Raw genomic sequence first — 14,516 nt, 5'->3', positions numbered from 1 at the left:
TCCAGGGGAATTACTTCCCAGCTATCCTGTCCGAGCTCCTCATGAACTTCCTGGAAGTCAAGTGGTTAGAGATAGGCAAGGTAACATAGGGGATGGTGACCAACGGGATTTTGGATTTTGGATTAATTTCTCTGAAGCCTTTCCTTCTGAGTGTAATTGGACCAAAGATCCAGTAGCCTAATACAGCCACTGTCAACTCCTAACACAACCATAATCTACACACTTCCATTCTTTTAAAAAACGGAAATTGTAGTCCCGGCGTAGTGGTTCACGCCTGTAATTTCAGTACTTTGGCAGGCAGAAGTGGGTGGATCAGTTGAGGTCAGGAGTTTGAGACCAGCCTGCGCAACATGGCAAAAACTCCTCTCTACAAAAATAAGCCAGGTGCAGTGGTGTGTGCCTGTAGTCCCAGCTACTTGGGAGGTTAAGGCAGGAGAATCACTTGAGCCCAGGAGGTAGAGGTTGCAGTAAGCCGAGATCACCCCATTGCACTCCAGTCTGGGGCGACAGAAGTGAAACATTGTTTCAAAAACATATATATATGAGATATACATCATATATATGATATACATATACATATACATATATAGATATAGATAATATTTGTAGAGATGAGGTCTCACTACGTTGCCCACGCTGATCTCAATCCCCGGAACTCAAGTGGTCTTCCCGCCTCGGCCTCTCAAAGTATAGGATTACAGGTGGGTATGAGCCACTGCACCCAGCTGACACTTCCACCCTTGTACTGCCTCCACTGGCCAACAACGGTTGCCAGTGGTGAGGAAATGTGGTGCCTAAACTTCACCTGATCCTCATGCAGAAAAAATATAAACGAGAAGCCCATGCTTGCAACATAATGAGGAAAACAGCATGTTCTAGATGGAAAATTTGATGACAAAAGTTTAGTAGGAAGAAGATGAGATATCGTGTCATGTCAAATGAAATCAAACCAATAAAGCTGGTTAAGTTAGCTTTCCAGGTGTCCCTGAACACCTCTGAGAGGAGGAGATATTCCTCTGGTGCTGCTTCACTTAGCTCGCAGGTTTAAATGTCCTACAGGCTTTACATATACAAACCGATTTGGCCATTTCAACAACCCTATATGGTAGGAGGTATGATTACCACTATTCCGCACGTGAGGAACCTGAGGCACAGAGAAGATGAGTAACATGCCCAAGGTCACGGTGCTTGTAAGTGACAGAGCTTGGACTGGAACCCAAAGCACCAGAGTCCAGGCTCTCAACCACTATACTATACCGCCTCTCCCTGTAGTGTGATGGAGCGGCCCAAGATGGAATAGGGCGGAGTCCCCACAGTTTGGGACAGTTAAAACTGTGTTGTAACCTAGGGAAAGTAAGGCTCCACTGCCCTGCGGGATGTCAGGATGACGCCACCCCCATGGCGCTCCCTCATCAAACTCCTAGGGAACGAAGCCCCTCCTCACTGCCCCACAGACCAGCCCCGGTCAGCCCGAGGGCCCAGCGTGGTTGGAGGGTCCAGCTGCCTTCCCTGTCTGCACGTCCACACCCCCTCCCCCTGGGCAGCCCTGACGACCCGTGTCCAGTGTCCCAGAGGCCATGGCCCCAGGGCTCCCTGCGAAACAAGCTCAAGCCGCAGGGGCCCCGTTCGGCCCCTCGCGGGACCGCGCTTCCTCCCGCCGGCGACGGTCCACGCGCGGTCACCCCAAAGCCACTCTGGCCGCGGCTTCAGACCTTACGCGGGGGAAGGGGCAGCCAGCTCCTCGGGCCCATTCGTGATCCTCGGGCGACCTCTGGCGGCCGGCACGGGCATGGCCTCAAGAGAATCCCCGCCGAGGCCGAGCTCGTCCCGGGCGGCCATTTCACTTTGTGGACGGTCGCATTTTCCCGGCGGGCACTGCGACCGAGTTCGGGGCTTCAAGAAATGGCGGCCTACGCAGGCGTACTCACTACGGGCGCGTGCTCGCCGAGGTGCACAGGCGCGCACGCGTCGCGTACGCTGGTGGCGAGCGCGCATTCGCGCAGGCGCACACGTCCTGTGCCCGCTACCCAGATTTCGGGGAAGGTGAGGGGTGTGGTTCTGTGCCATCCCTTTTTCTTTTCCGTCCCTGCTGTCTTCCCAAATAGATCGTCAAGGCTCTACAGCAAGGTTTGTCAACCTTAGCACTATTACCATTTTGAACCCCATAATTCTATGGTGTGTGTTGGGGGATGTGGGGCAGCATCCCAGATCTCTGCATATAAGAAGCCAGTAGTGTCTCCCACTCCCAGTTTTGACAACCAAAAATGGCTCCAGACATTGTATCGTAGCAGGCTGGAAGCTTTGGGAGATGCCCCTGGGTCAGAACCACTACCTGAGAACGATGGTTCTCGACCTAGCCTGGAAGGAGAACAAACTGGGGAGCTTTGAAAAAGACACATGATGGAGACCCACCCCAGAAAAATAAAATCCAAATCTCTACCTGGGACTTCGGGAAGTTTTTGTTGTGTTGTAAACCAAAAATAAAATTCTAAGCTCCCCAGCTGAATGAATGGACACTTCTCTCAGCCAAGGGGACACAACGTGAAAAACTAGTTCAGGTCATGATGAGAAAGGGGAAGGTCAGACATGCCTCAATATATTCTCCTCCCTTTGGAATTCATGCCCAACTGACCAGTATTAACATTGAGAGAGATATTCAGACTGACAAAACAGACTCCTTGAAGCAATAATATGCCAAATTCCAACCTGACTCTAGTATAGCATCACATGACAGACAGCAGGTAATGAAAGAAATTGAAGTATTTTACACCAAAATATATTTTTTGACATATTTTGAAATGACCTGGCAAAGCTGTCTCTCCTGGGGGAAATTTACATTCTGTAGAGAATCTCCTTCCCTTTCCAGGACTTTTTCTGATCTGAGAGTCTAGCACCTTTTAAAGGTCTGAATAAGAAACATTGGCCATCTATTGCTTCTAAGGGCGGCCACTTATGAGACTTCACCTATATAAGAACTCTGGTCTCCACAACCCCTTATCTTAACCCAGGCACTCCTTTCTATTGATTCCAGGTCTTTAGAGAATAACAACTCTTTCAACCAATTGCCAATCAGAAAATCTCTGAATCCACCTATGACCTGGAACCCCACCCCCACCCCCACCCCCACCACACTCCCAGCTTTGAGGTGTCCGGCCTTTCTGGACCTAACTAATGTATACCTAGGCCTTTCTGGACCTAACTAATGTATACCTCACATGTATTGATTGATGTCTTATGTCTCCCTAGAACATAAAAAACCAAGCTGTAAGTGAACCACCCTGGGCACATGCTCTCAGGACCTCCTGAGGCTGTGTCACGGGTCATAGTCCTAACATTTGGCTCAGAATTTCTTCAAATATTTTACAGAGTATGGCCTTTTTCATCAACAGTGTATTTCAGTACTTCCTAGGTGATTCTCAAGTACAGCCAGAGTTGTGAAACACTGTAATCAAGAAAGTTTGTATTGGCCAGGCACAGTGGCTCACGCCTGTAATCCCAGCAATTTGGGAGGCCAAGATGGGTGGATGGCTTGATGTCAGGAGTTTGAGACCAGCCTGGCCAACACAGTGAAACCCTATCCCTAGTAAAAATATAAAAATTAGCTGGGCGTGGTGGCATGTGCCTGTAATCCCAGCTACTTAGGAGGCTGAGGCAGGAGAATCGTTTGAACCCAGGAGGCAGAGGTTGCAGTGAGTCGAGATTGCGCCACTGCACCCCAGCTGGGGCGACAAAGCAAAACTCTGTCTCAAAAAAAAAAAAAAAAAAAAAAAACACCTCTGATTTTGCAGACGTTTAAACATCAGAGGAAAGTAGCGTGAGCCTGGCTCTAGAGTTGGCTGGATCTGGGCTCTGTTCCTAAGTGTGTTCATTACAGGAGTGAGTCCCTCAATTTTCTCCTCTGTCAAGTTGCATAATAAGAAGCCTTATCCTTTTCCACGTTTGGGGAAAATTAAGGTGAGATCACACAGCATGTTAACCATGTTAACCAGCTGTAAGTTACTGATTCTGGGTCTTGAGACTAGGCTCCAAAGACAAGATTTCATAAACTAGTTTTTCGTAGTTTCTCCTGAGGATTTTCTTAGAGCCTCTTCCCTTGGAACTCAGTTCTGCCACTTGTAAGGCCTTGGCTAAGTCACTTAATCTTTCTATGCTTCAGTTTCCCACCTTACCCATCTCACAAGTTGCTGGGAAGGCTGTAAGGCACCTAGCACAGCACAGTATTGGTGTCAGCTGTTGTTTTCACTCTGATTGTTAATTGTCAGTGCAATTCGAATGAGAAAAGAAACACAATAAGGCCTCATACCTTAGATATCCATTGCCCACCCCAGCCCCCAGCATCTTGGTTTAAGTAAAAAAGCAACAGCAATGTGGTATGAAAATGCAAACATGCATTCACCTTTTAAACACCTAAATCACATGAGACTCCCCTTTGGCTTAAAACTTGAAATAAGATCCAATCTCTTAACCATGGCTTACCAAGGCCCTGCTCCATCTGTGGCCCTCCTCACTGGCCAAGCTCCAGCCACTCTGTCCTTTGGAACATGCTAAGCATGTTCCCACCTCAGGGTTAGTTGGTTTGTGGTTCCTTATCTATAGCTCTCTCCACCGTGTTCTTTCTAGAGTTGGCTCCTTCTCCTCTTTAGAGGAGATCGCCTGAGTTGCCTTTTCCACCCACCTAAGTAGTACCCTCCTCACTGCCATCACTCTATCTCAGCTGCGGCTGTTTTCTTCGGAGCACTATCCTTCCCAGGAGGCACAGAGACCTAGGCTCCAGGCTTTTGGGTTTTGTTGTAATTAGGCATAAACCTTTGAGAGACTGTGAGGAGAACCGTATGAGACACTGTGAGTAGAGGGCTGTGCACACAGTGGACTCCAATATCACAGTACAAGAGGCCAATCAAGCCCTACCTAGTTCACTGAGCCTCCTCTTCCAGCACTCCCCAACAAGGACACTCATCGCTGACCACATCCAGCTACATACAGTCCCCATGAAGCCCCCTTCCCCTGCTCTAGCGCTCATGTATTGCTCTAATCTGGACCAGCCTTTGCCCACCCCCTGCCTGAGAGTTCCTGGAGGGCAGAGGTGTTTCTGATTTGTCTGCATGCTCCAGCCTCCAGCAAAAGGCAGTTGCTGTCAGAGTGGTTGCTGACTGAAAGACCCTTTCTGACTATGATGTATTTCCTGGCCAAGGCAACAGTTTAGTGGAAAGCTCCCTGGCCCCAGAAGCCAGAGGGTTCTGGTTGGGGCTTCTGCCCTTGCTATGTGCCTCAGGCCAGCTCACAAACCTTGCTGGCCTCACCTTCCCAGCCAAAGGCCAATGGACACACAGCCCAAGCTGCCTCTCTCCACCCCAGAAGTTCAGCACTGTCTGCTCATGCCTTACCCCTTTGGGTCTGCCTTTGCATCCTCCTGGGCTGCTGTGCTGTTGCTCTTCCTATCAGCAGGGACAGCAGAGACTGAAGTGGCACTGGAGCTGAGGAAGGAAACACAGGCCTGCTGAGATCTCAGACCAAAGAAGGCTGGGGCCCAGGTCTTCCCCCTCCAGGCTGCCTTCTCACCAGAAAGGGAGGAACTGTGTCTTCCAGTAAAGGCTGGTGTCTCAGTCCTGGCATTAGTGTGGCACCGATGCCACTGTGTGTGACAACCTCATGTCAGCTTTGGACATGGCCTTAGCACCTGAGTTCAAGAGCAAACACTGCCCCTGACCAACTTGGGTTCCCTGGGGAAGTCTCCTGGTTTTGGGTTCTAGTATCCTGTAAGGTACCTGGATGTGCTTTGTTCAAGGAATAGGCAGAGGGGGATATCCAGGCCTGCATGACTCAATGAGTCTGGTGCACAGGTGCACACCTCCACTTCTTATATAACCTGTTTATGTAAGTTCATACTTGGCTCTAAACCACTATTGTCTGTAAAAGGTATAACTGCCCTGTTGACGCTGTGTATGGGGGACATGTCTCTTGGGGCTTGGCTCAGCTCAACATAGCTTGACATGGCGGGTGCACGGGAACCTAGAGAAAGAGAGAGAGCAAGAGCTGTCTGTCTTTGCAGGTGGACAGAGGGGAGCCAGGACAGAGGGGAGCCAGGACACAGCTTGGCTTGCCCGTGCCCAGGGAGAGAAAGAATTAAGCTGCTGACCCTGAAGGCAAGGGAGAGCTGGCCACGCAGCTGTGCGTAGGGGCCACCGGACTAAGCAGCCAAGACAGGGCAGACGGTGTGAGAGTAAGCTGCTAATGAGAAAGCTAGTTTGAGAAAGCTGTGTAAGAGAGCTGCTGCTGAGTAAAGCCATGTCTCATTTACCTGCTATCTCTCGAGTGTTCTTCCAGCTCCCTGCCCCACGTCCACCCATTCCCCTTAGCCCTCAGCTGCGGCTGGAACCTGACCCTGAGCATGACGTATCCTTACCTGACCTACACCTCTGTAGGGTTTATGGGAGTTAAGAAAGATCGTTCCTTACTAGGACTTGCCAAATGCTCCACACACCCACAGCAAAGTGGCCATGCCCACTGGTGGATTGGTGGGTGAAACAGGGCAGACGCTTACAGCATGGGAATGCACAGCTTCTTCCCATTGTACCTTTGTGCCCCAGGAGCCATTTTTGCCCATCCCAGCCACCGGTCCTGTGCTCCTGGGAACTGAGCCCTCTAATGCTGGCTGCCCCTGGGAATCTTCTCCCTGACTCCTGCTTGCTAAACCTGGCTGTAGTCCCTACAGCAGAGGTTCTCTGAGACCTCCTAGCAGGATCTCTTCCCAGGCTCTGCCTTCAGATGCCCTCCTCTCTGCCACCTCAGCTTGGGTCCATGTAGGTTGGTGCTGGGCTCTCTGGGTGAGCAGACATATCACCCATCCCTCTTCTTCCACTGCCCCTGGTCAGAGCTCCCCCTGGAGTTCCCTGTCTTGCTGTGATCACCTGATGTGAAAGTGGCATGGAGCTGAGAAGTTCGAGGGGGATCCTGGGGTGCTGCAGCTGAGGCTGGGCCCCAAAGGCTGTGTCTGGCAATGGGATAGGGCACTAGGGCAGTGGCCCTAACCTTACCTGATGGCTGCTGGTCTAGGCTTGCAGGACTGAGAGTTGGCACTGTGCCCATCCTGGTCTTCCAGGAAAGAGGCAAAGCTAGCAGCTGCACACAGCCTGTGAAAGAAGGCCAGACCTGGTCCAGGTTCAGGACTTTGTGTCTGTATGTCTACCCTCTCCCGAGAAAGTGGATCCTGCCCCCCACAGATGATGAGGACCAAGAAGCTGCTCAAATGGATGCTTGAGGAACAATATTTATATCTCAAGGCAGCCTGACACCTGGGGCTCTGTGGCATAGTGGTTGCCCTCTGGCGTTGCAAATCATGGCTTTGCTATCTCCCAGCTGTGTGACATTGGGCATGTTACCTGACCTTTTTTTCTGGGCCTCAGTTTTACCATCAATGAAATAGGGATGCTAATCATGTCTGTCTCGTAAGTATTCTGAGAAAAGTAAATGAGTTCATAGATGCCAAGTACTTTGAATAATGCCTGGGCCATAACATGTGCTAATGTGTTCCTGTTACCACAGGGCCCAGTGGCTGTTTATAGAAGCAGTGCACCTTCCCAGTCCACCTGTATTCACCCACTCAATATGGATTTAGTGGGGAATGTCTTACCCAACCTTCTCAGGGTGGAGTCACATTCTCTGTGTCTCTGTAAACCAGGCAGACTGATGCTCACGGCATGCTGAACAATCACTGCCTATACAAGCCTGTGCCCTCCACTAACCAGCACACTCACTAAGAGGTGCTCTTGTTTGGTCCCAGACCTCTTTATGCCAGTTGTATTTGCACAAGAAGGGGACAGCAGACCCTGGCCTCTGAAACCAATGTCTCTGAGCAGATCCAAGGAAAGGCCCCTGGGGCAGCAACTCAGTTCTTTGAGCTGCCACTAATGGAGAAGAATCACTAAGTTCGATGATTAAGTAAATCCATGAAAATGAATGGAAAAGGAGAGTGGTTGTTGCCATGAGAAACAACCTTTCCTTTGGAAAAACAAGGCAGGACGCGATGGCTCACGCCTGTAATCCCAGCACTTTGGGAGGCTGAGGCGGGTGGATCACGAGTTCAGGAGATCGAGACCATCCTGGCTAACACGGTGAAACCCCGTCTCTACTAAAAAATACAAAAAATTAGCCGGGCGTGGTGGCGGGCGCCTGTAGTCCCAGCTACTTGGGAGGCTGAGGCAGGACAATGGCATGAACTCAGGAGGCGGAGCTTGCAGTGAGCCGAGATCGCACCAGTGCACTCCAGCCTGGGGGACAGAGCAAGAGTCCGTCTCAAAAAAAAAAAAAAAGGAAAAACAATAAAGGAGTTTGTTGAAAATTATAGTCAAACTAAGTGTGGTCAGCCCTCTATGTTGTGGGTTCCACATCTGTGGATTCAACCAACTTCAGATTGAAAATATTTGGGACCAGGTACAGTGGCTCATGCCTGTAATCCCAGCACTTTGGGAGGCTGAGGTCGGTGGACTGCTTGAGCCCAGGAGTTCCAAACCAGCCTGGGCAACCTGGTAAAACCTCGTCTCTACCAAAAATACAAAAGTTAGCCAGGCGTGGTGGTCCACGCCTGTAGTCCCAGCTACTTGGGAGGCTGATGTGGGAGGATCCCTTGAGCCCCAGAGGTTGAGGCTGCTGTGAGCTGTGATCACAGCACTGCACTCCAGCCCTGGTGACAGAGCAAGGTCCTGTCTGAAAAAGGAGAGGAGAGGAGAGGAGAGGATGAGATGAGATGTGGGAAAAATAATTAAAATAGGATGGCTGCATCTGTACTGACCATGTACAGGCTTTTTTCTGTCATCATTCCCTAAACAATACAGTATAACAACTATTTACATACCACTTACATTGTATGAGGTATTATAATAATCTAGAGATGCTTTAAAGGGTACAGGAGGATGTGCATAGGTTACATGCAAATGCTACACCATTTTATATCAGGGACTTCAACATGCATGGATTTTGGTATATGAGTGAGGTTCTGGAACCAATCCCCCACAGATACCTAGGGACTACTATATAGGTAAGACAACTGTAAAAGACTGGGTTAAAATTCATGAAAATCTAGAAGATTCTTCAGATGACTTTACAAGTAACTTTGAGGCTTGGTTTCATTTTAAGGAAACAGTGGACAGCACAGGCTTCATGTTATGAGGGTGTATAAGCAGGCGGGGTGACATGGAGGAGACCAGAGCCACCCAATCACAGTAGACCAGAAGTCTCTTCCGCGACAGCCATCAGCAGAGCCAGTCAAGCTGCACCACTGTGGGGAGAGTAGCAGGAGCCCCGACTGGATAGAAGGCCAAAGATTCTGCCATGCAGGACCCAGTGGGCCATGGGAAAGGGTTTGGACTTCATTCTAAGGAAAATGGAGAGCCACTAGAAGGTTTTAGCAGGGGAGAAATGTGATCTAGCTTATTTTTAAAAAGATCCCTCCAATGCCTCTGCAGATGGCAAAAAGATGCAGGCTGCATGGACAGGGCTCTAGCGGAGTCCTCCCCATTAGTGGCAGCTTAAAGAACAGAGTCTCTGGTGGCCTCTCCTTGGACCTGCTCGGAGACAGTGGTTTCAGAGGCCAGGACCTGCTGTCCCCTTCCTGTGTTGACTTGTGGGCCTGGATTTAGAATTCGGGCTCTGGTTCCATGGCATGAATTGCAAACTATTGAAGTTAGTGAGGGAAAGGGGCCCTGGGTGTGCTGAGGGAAGTAGGAAAGCATCAGCAGGGCCTTCCCCACAGGATTCCCTCCTTGGCCAGACTGCAGTAGGATGCAGGAGGCAGATGATATCTTGCGGTTGTAGCTCTTTGCAGACACTGGCTTTGCCACTCCTCCCTAGCCATCTGCTCTGAACCAGAAGGACTCTAGCATAGTTTGGAGCTAAACTATTTATGCCAACATCTGCATACCTAGCCTTTGCCCCAAGAATGATTCAGGCTTGGTTTGGAACCACTTAGGGACAAGAGGGACCTTGCCACTCTGCAAATCACCTGAGAAAGTGGCCCCTGACTCCCTCCAGGTCCAAGAAGCCAGAGCCCAGCTGGACACGCTGGTCTCTCCAGGGCTACCGCTTTTCCTCTCCCTGAACCTCAGAGCAGAGCTGCCTGGGGTAGGGATGGGGCAGGAAAAGGAGAGAAGGGAGAAAGCAGGAGCAAAGGGCCTCCTAGCTGGTCCTCAGAGCTTAACCAAGAAGTAAGAAGGTGCCGACTCTTCCATCATTCAGTCATTCACTCATTAATTTGTCCCTTCATGTATTCCCTACACGTTCATTTGACCAGCCCAAGACCAGCACCATGTGAGGGCTGGGCCTCCAGCTGTGAGTGGGCCTAGTGCCTACTCTGGAGGAGCTTGAGGGCCAGTGGCAGGGATCAGAAAAATGAACAAGATTCCAAAAAGTGGAAAGCCCAAGGACACAGGATGTGGTGGAATGTGGGAGTGTGGGAGAAGCAGTAGACAGGAGCCATAGGAAGTGACCAGTGCCCCACCCATAGCAGCCCAAGCAGCCTGGCAGCTTGACCCTGGTCTGTCACCAGGGGCATGAGAGAACCTGCCTCCCCCGGGCAGCTCACCTTCCTCTCTCGGAGCCGATGTCTACTGCAGCCAAGCCTTCAGGCCGGGAGCCCGTGGCTCCGGATCCCACATTGCCATCACTCAACTGTGCACTTGACCTGTTATGAGAAGTGGAGTATTTGCTGACTCTAGTTGCGTTTTGATCTCATCTAACCCAGATGCCATGAGAGTGGGCCTCAAGACCAGAAGCACAGGCCTTTGGCTGCTACTCTGTGCTGCTCTGACCAGAGCTGAGCCAAGCCCAAGTTGACTCTAACAGGAAGTATTTCTGTATTTTTTCCAAACCTGATGGGTTGGTTGGGAGCAAGGTGGAAAGTCAGGAGGAGGTTAGTTCGTTGGTGGTGGGGGGAGCTGATTGCCAACAGAGCAAGGGGCAAGACATGTGGGTCTGGTAATAAGCCATAGAGGGATTCCTTTCCTCATTTCCAGGGCTCAGGGTTCCAGCTAGGGGCTCCAGGGATCCACACTGAGAAGACGGGTGTGTGGGTTCTTAGCTGTAACTGGCTACCAGGTTCTCACTGAAGAAATGCCCAGCCTGCAGCCACTGCTCACCAGACACATTTGGCACTGGTCTGGCTTGGAGGACAGGTCAGTGGGCTGGCTGTGCAGCGACTGGGGACAATCATCCCATCTGGACTCATCATCCACCGCTATGGCTCCAACTTCCCGTCCTGGACCCCTCACCCCTTGCCACAATGTCTCCCTTAGTCCACGGGTCATCCTGAAAGTCTCCGCTACATGCTCTATGGGGGCCCACATACTTTGGTCACTGACTCTCCCAGACTGCCAGCTTGGTGGCCTTGCTTTGCCCTGGCCATTGGCAGGGCTGCTTTGTCCTGCAGTAAAAGCACAGTGAGTGTGGAAGCTTCAGGGGAATGGAAGGAACTCAGCACAGGCCAGGAGCTGGGGATAGCCTGCCCTGGAGTTTGGTCCTGCTCTCTAACTGGCTCCCTGAGGAATCATGGCAGGGGCCTACCTCCCTCCAGGCCTCATTCATTCATTCTTTCTTTCTTTCAACAGATGTTCATTAAAGACCTGCAGTACCCCAGGTACTGGGGGAACAGTGGGAACAGGACCTTCCTGGCCCCAGCTGCATCCATTGACATTGCACCGGAGGCCATGGAAGTCCTTCAGCTGGGTGTATGTGGGCTCCGTGTTCTGGGAATGAAGTGTCTGCTTCCTGCACTGAGTTACCTTGCAGCATCTGTGTTGGGGGCCCTGAAAGCCTCCTCACCAGCCAAGTCCCTCTGGAGCTCTCTGGAGCAGGGGGCCTCCTTGTCTTTGTTGCCTGGGGAAGACCTATGGAGGAAAGAAATGGAAGTTAACCATGCAGCAGCCATTCACACTCAGGTGTGGGCTGTTACCTCATCCTCAAACGCCAGCTGTCTCCACGGAGCTTAAAACCTGCTACTGGGCCGGGTGCAGTGGCTCACGCCTATAACCCAGCATTTTGAGAGGCCGAGGCAAGAGGATCACTTGAGCCAGGAGTTCAAGACCAGCCTGAGAAACACAGCTAGACTCCATCTCCACAAAAATATTTTTGAAAGTTAGTCAGGAGTGGTGGTGTGTGCCTGTGGTCCCAGCTACTTGGGAGGTTGAACCTGGAAGGTTGAGGCTGCAGCGAGCTGTGATGGCACCACTGCACTTGAGCCTGGGCACACACAGCAAGATGCTGTCTTAAAAAACAGAACCAAAAACAAACAAACCCTGCTGATTGACAGATTGGCCAATTATCAAAACTTCATTACTAATAGCTACTGTTTTTTGTTTTTTGTTGTTGTTGTTTTATAGCTACTGTGCTGGGATTACAGGTGTGAGCCACTGTGCCTGGCAATAGCTACTGTTGATTGAGCATTTGAGCCTGTTCTCGTGACTTTATATGCATTAACTCTGCAAATCAACCCCAGGATATGGGCACTGTTATCACCCATGCCCATCTTTCAGATGAGCAAACGGAGGCACACAAAGCCCCTGTGATTTGCCCCAAATTTCACAGGTAATAAGAGGAGTAGCTGGGATTTGAGTTCTGGACTATATCCCTGATCCTAATCTCCTAATTTAAGCCCCCTTCTGTTCTCCTTCAGGTCCTCAGGGAGCCCCATGTTGTCAAATCCAGGAGAGACAGTCCCATCATTATTTCAAACCACCATTCAGTACTGCTGACCCAGTGGGCCACTCCAGCCTTCTCACCACCCCTCCTCCCTTGATCCTGTCAACACCACCTGCCTACCTCCCTGGCCACACACCTTCCTGGTCTCCGCCTTTTTCTCCTCCCTTTGGCGTGCTCCACCACTTGCTGGGCTGTCTCCTCCCCTCCCAAGGTGTCAACTGCCACCCTTGAAGCAGGGATCTCCACTTGTTCCTGCCTCTCCTTTATACTGGCCTGCACACCCACTAACTCCCAACTGGCCCTCAGGAGGCCCACTCTCAACATGGCGAGAAGAGACTGCCCTCGCCCAGCTGTCCCCAGGAGGGCTGGCCAGGTGGCTGCCACCTGCATACTGAGGTCGGTGCCCAGCTTCCATTGGCTCACCATGAGCCCCATGTAAAGCTAGTTTACGCTCATGATTTCAGCTCTATTCTGTCTGCATATAACGTGGAAATCTCTTGAGCCCTAATCACTCTCTCAAACCTCAATCACAAACCTTAAAATACCTCCCTCCTGGAAATTTTGACTTCAATGCCTACGAATAAACTCGTCAAATGAGTTCACTCAGCAAATGCCAAGTCTTTCCATCACCCCTCTCTGTCCCCCTGCTCCCTGCCCCAACTAGTACAATGAGCTATGGTGCAGAAGGTGGAAGGTGGGAGTAGGGCAGGCTGAGCGGATCTGCCTGCTCTGGACCATGTGACCTTGAGCAAGTTACTTAACCATTCAGGGTCTCAGTTTCTTAATCTGTAAAATGGGCATAGTGATTGTATCTACATCCATGCAGAATGGATGCTGCCATGCAGAATCGACAAGCCCTCAGATGCTGCCTGGGGAAGAAACTCAGGAGAAGGACATGACCCAGAAGACAGGACATTTGAGGTGGAACAGAAAGATGAAGAGGGGAAAGGGCATCTCAGGCAGAGCCTCCAGCCTGCACAGAGAAAGGCCCAGGGAGGGAGGAGCCTGCAGGTGGGGCCAGGTACTGAGTTCAGGCTGCAGAGCATAGTGGGAGGGGCTTTGCAGGGCTTTCTGCAGGGGGCTGGCATAACTACTTCTGCCCTTTGGAAACATCACCCAGGTAGATGTGGAAGGGAGTCCAGGGATGGGACAGTAGGAAACGGTCGCAGACAACTGGGTGAGTAGCAGTGGAGGCCTGGGCCAGGGGCAGAGCAATAGGGATGGAAACATCTCTAAAATAAAGTGGACAGGACTTGGTGCCTTGGGGGCAGAATTAAAGTGGGAGGAGCCAAGGAGGAGGGTAAAGGGACCTAGAGATCGCTCAGGACTCATCTTGGATGTCAATTCCTCCAGGAAGCCCTCCCCAAGCACTCCCACCCACCACACTGTTGAGAGGCCTCTGCTCGAAGTTCCTGCCACCCCAGGGATTAAGGGATGACCTTCAGTGTACACTCCCGCTTCTCTCCCCAGTCCCTGGCCTTCACAAGGTAGGGGCCCAGTCTCCCTGCTCGGATCTCTCCTAGCCTCCACCCCAGCCCCCGAATCCTGCCTGCATGTCACCTGGCTGTCTGACCCCCACCCCAGGGCAGAGGCTGAGCCCCTCGTGCTCCCTGCTGGTTGTGGCCTCCTTGACCCACCCCTCCCCAGCACAGAGCCTAGTGGCATGGAGAGCTGTGGACTCTGACCCAGTGACCCCACTCTATTCCCAGTGGCCCTCTCACACAGGCAGGGCAATGGCCTCAGTGGCCTTCACGGGCTCCTTAGACCCAATCCTCCTCCCACCCCCACCAACATCCCCAGCACGGCTGACTGGTCCCATCTTCAGCAAT

At 51.4% G+C, this 14,516-nt stretch overlaps 1 protein-coding gene and 1 long non-coding RNA gene across 57 annotated transcripts in view, besides 2 other annotated features; one reads left to right on the top strand and one right to left on the bottom strand.

The window, feature by feature from the left end:
- ZNF185 (zinc finger protein 185 with LIM domain) overlaps positions 1-14,516 on the bottom strand; it is a 75,415-nt gene that overhangs the window by 29,934 nt on the left and 30,965 nt on the right. For 29 of the 56 annotated variants that reach the window (XM_047442496.1, XM_017029828.2, XM_047442501.1 and 26 more), the window contains 3 exons: positions 11,772-11,876; positions 10,577-10,675; positions 5,385-5,474 (listed from right to left, as the gene is read on the bottom strand). In XM_047442496.1, coding sequence (XP_047298452.1) covers positions 5,385-5,474; positions 10,577-10,675; positions 11,772-11,876 — 294 coding nt within the window. Of the gene's footprint in view, positions 1-1,717; positions 1,878-5,384; positions 5,475-7,034; positions 7,131-10,576; positions 10,676-11,771; positions 11,877-14,516 lie in introns of those variants that run through there. The other 27 variants (XM_017029822.3, XM_017029821.2, XM_011531195.2 and 24 more) reach the window with 3 other exon arrangements.
- Positions 1,893-1,982: an enhancer, noted in NCBI's record as "active region_30030". NCBI's record gives its function as "activates an Ori minimal core promoter by ATAC-STARR-seq in GM12878 lymphoblastoid cells {active_cell/tissue: GM12878}" and the evidence as "EXISTENCE:reporter gene assay evidence [ECO:0000049][PMID:35858748]".
- LOC105373372 (uncharacterized) lies at positions 1,975-13,293 on the top strand. The gene is made up of 3 exons (XR_007068369.1): positions 1,975-2,127; positions 11,598-12,573; positions 12,662-13,293. It is a non-coding gene; the product is annotated as an uncharacterized LOC105373372 (long non-coding RNA).
- Positions 2,033-2,082: an enhancer, noted in NCBI's record as "active region_30029". NCBI's record gives its function as "activates an Ori minimal core promoter by ATAC-STARR-seq in GM12878 lymphoblastoid cells {active_cell/tissue: GM12878}" and the evidence as "EXISTENCE:reporter gene assay evidence [ECO:0000049][PMID:35858748]".

The sequence above is a fragment of the Homo sapiens genome, chromosome X (genome assembly GCF_000001405.40).
Source record: "Homo sapiens chromosome X, GRCh38.p14 Primary Assembly".
In the NCBI taxonomy this organism is placed as follows: Eukaryota; Metazoa; Chordata; class Mammalia; order Primates; family Hominidae; genus Homo; species Homo sapiens.
This window is presented reverse-complemented; position numbering and strand designations above follow the sequence as displayed.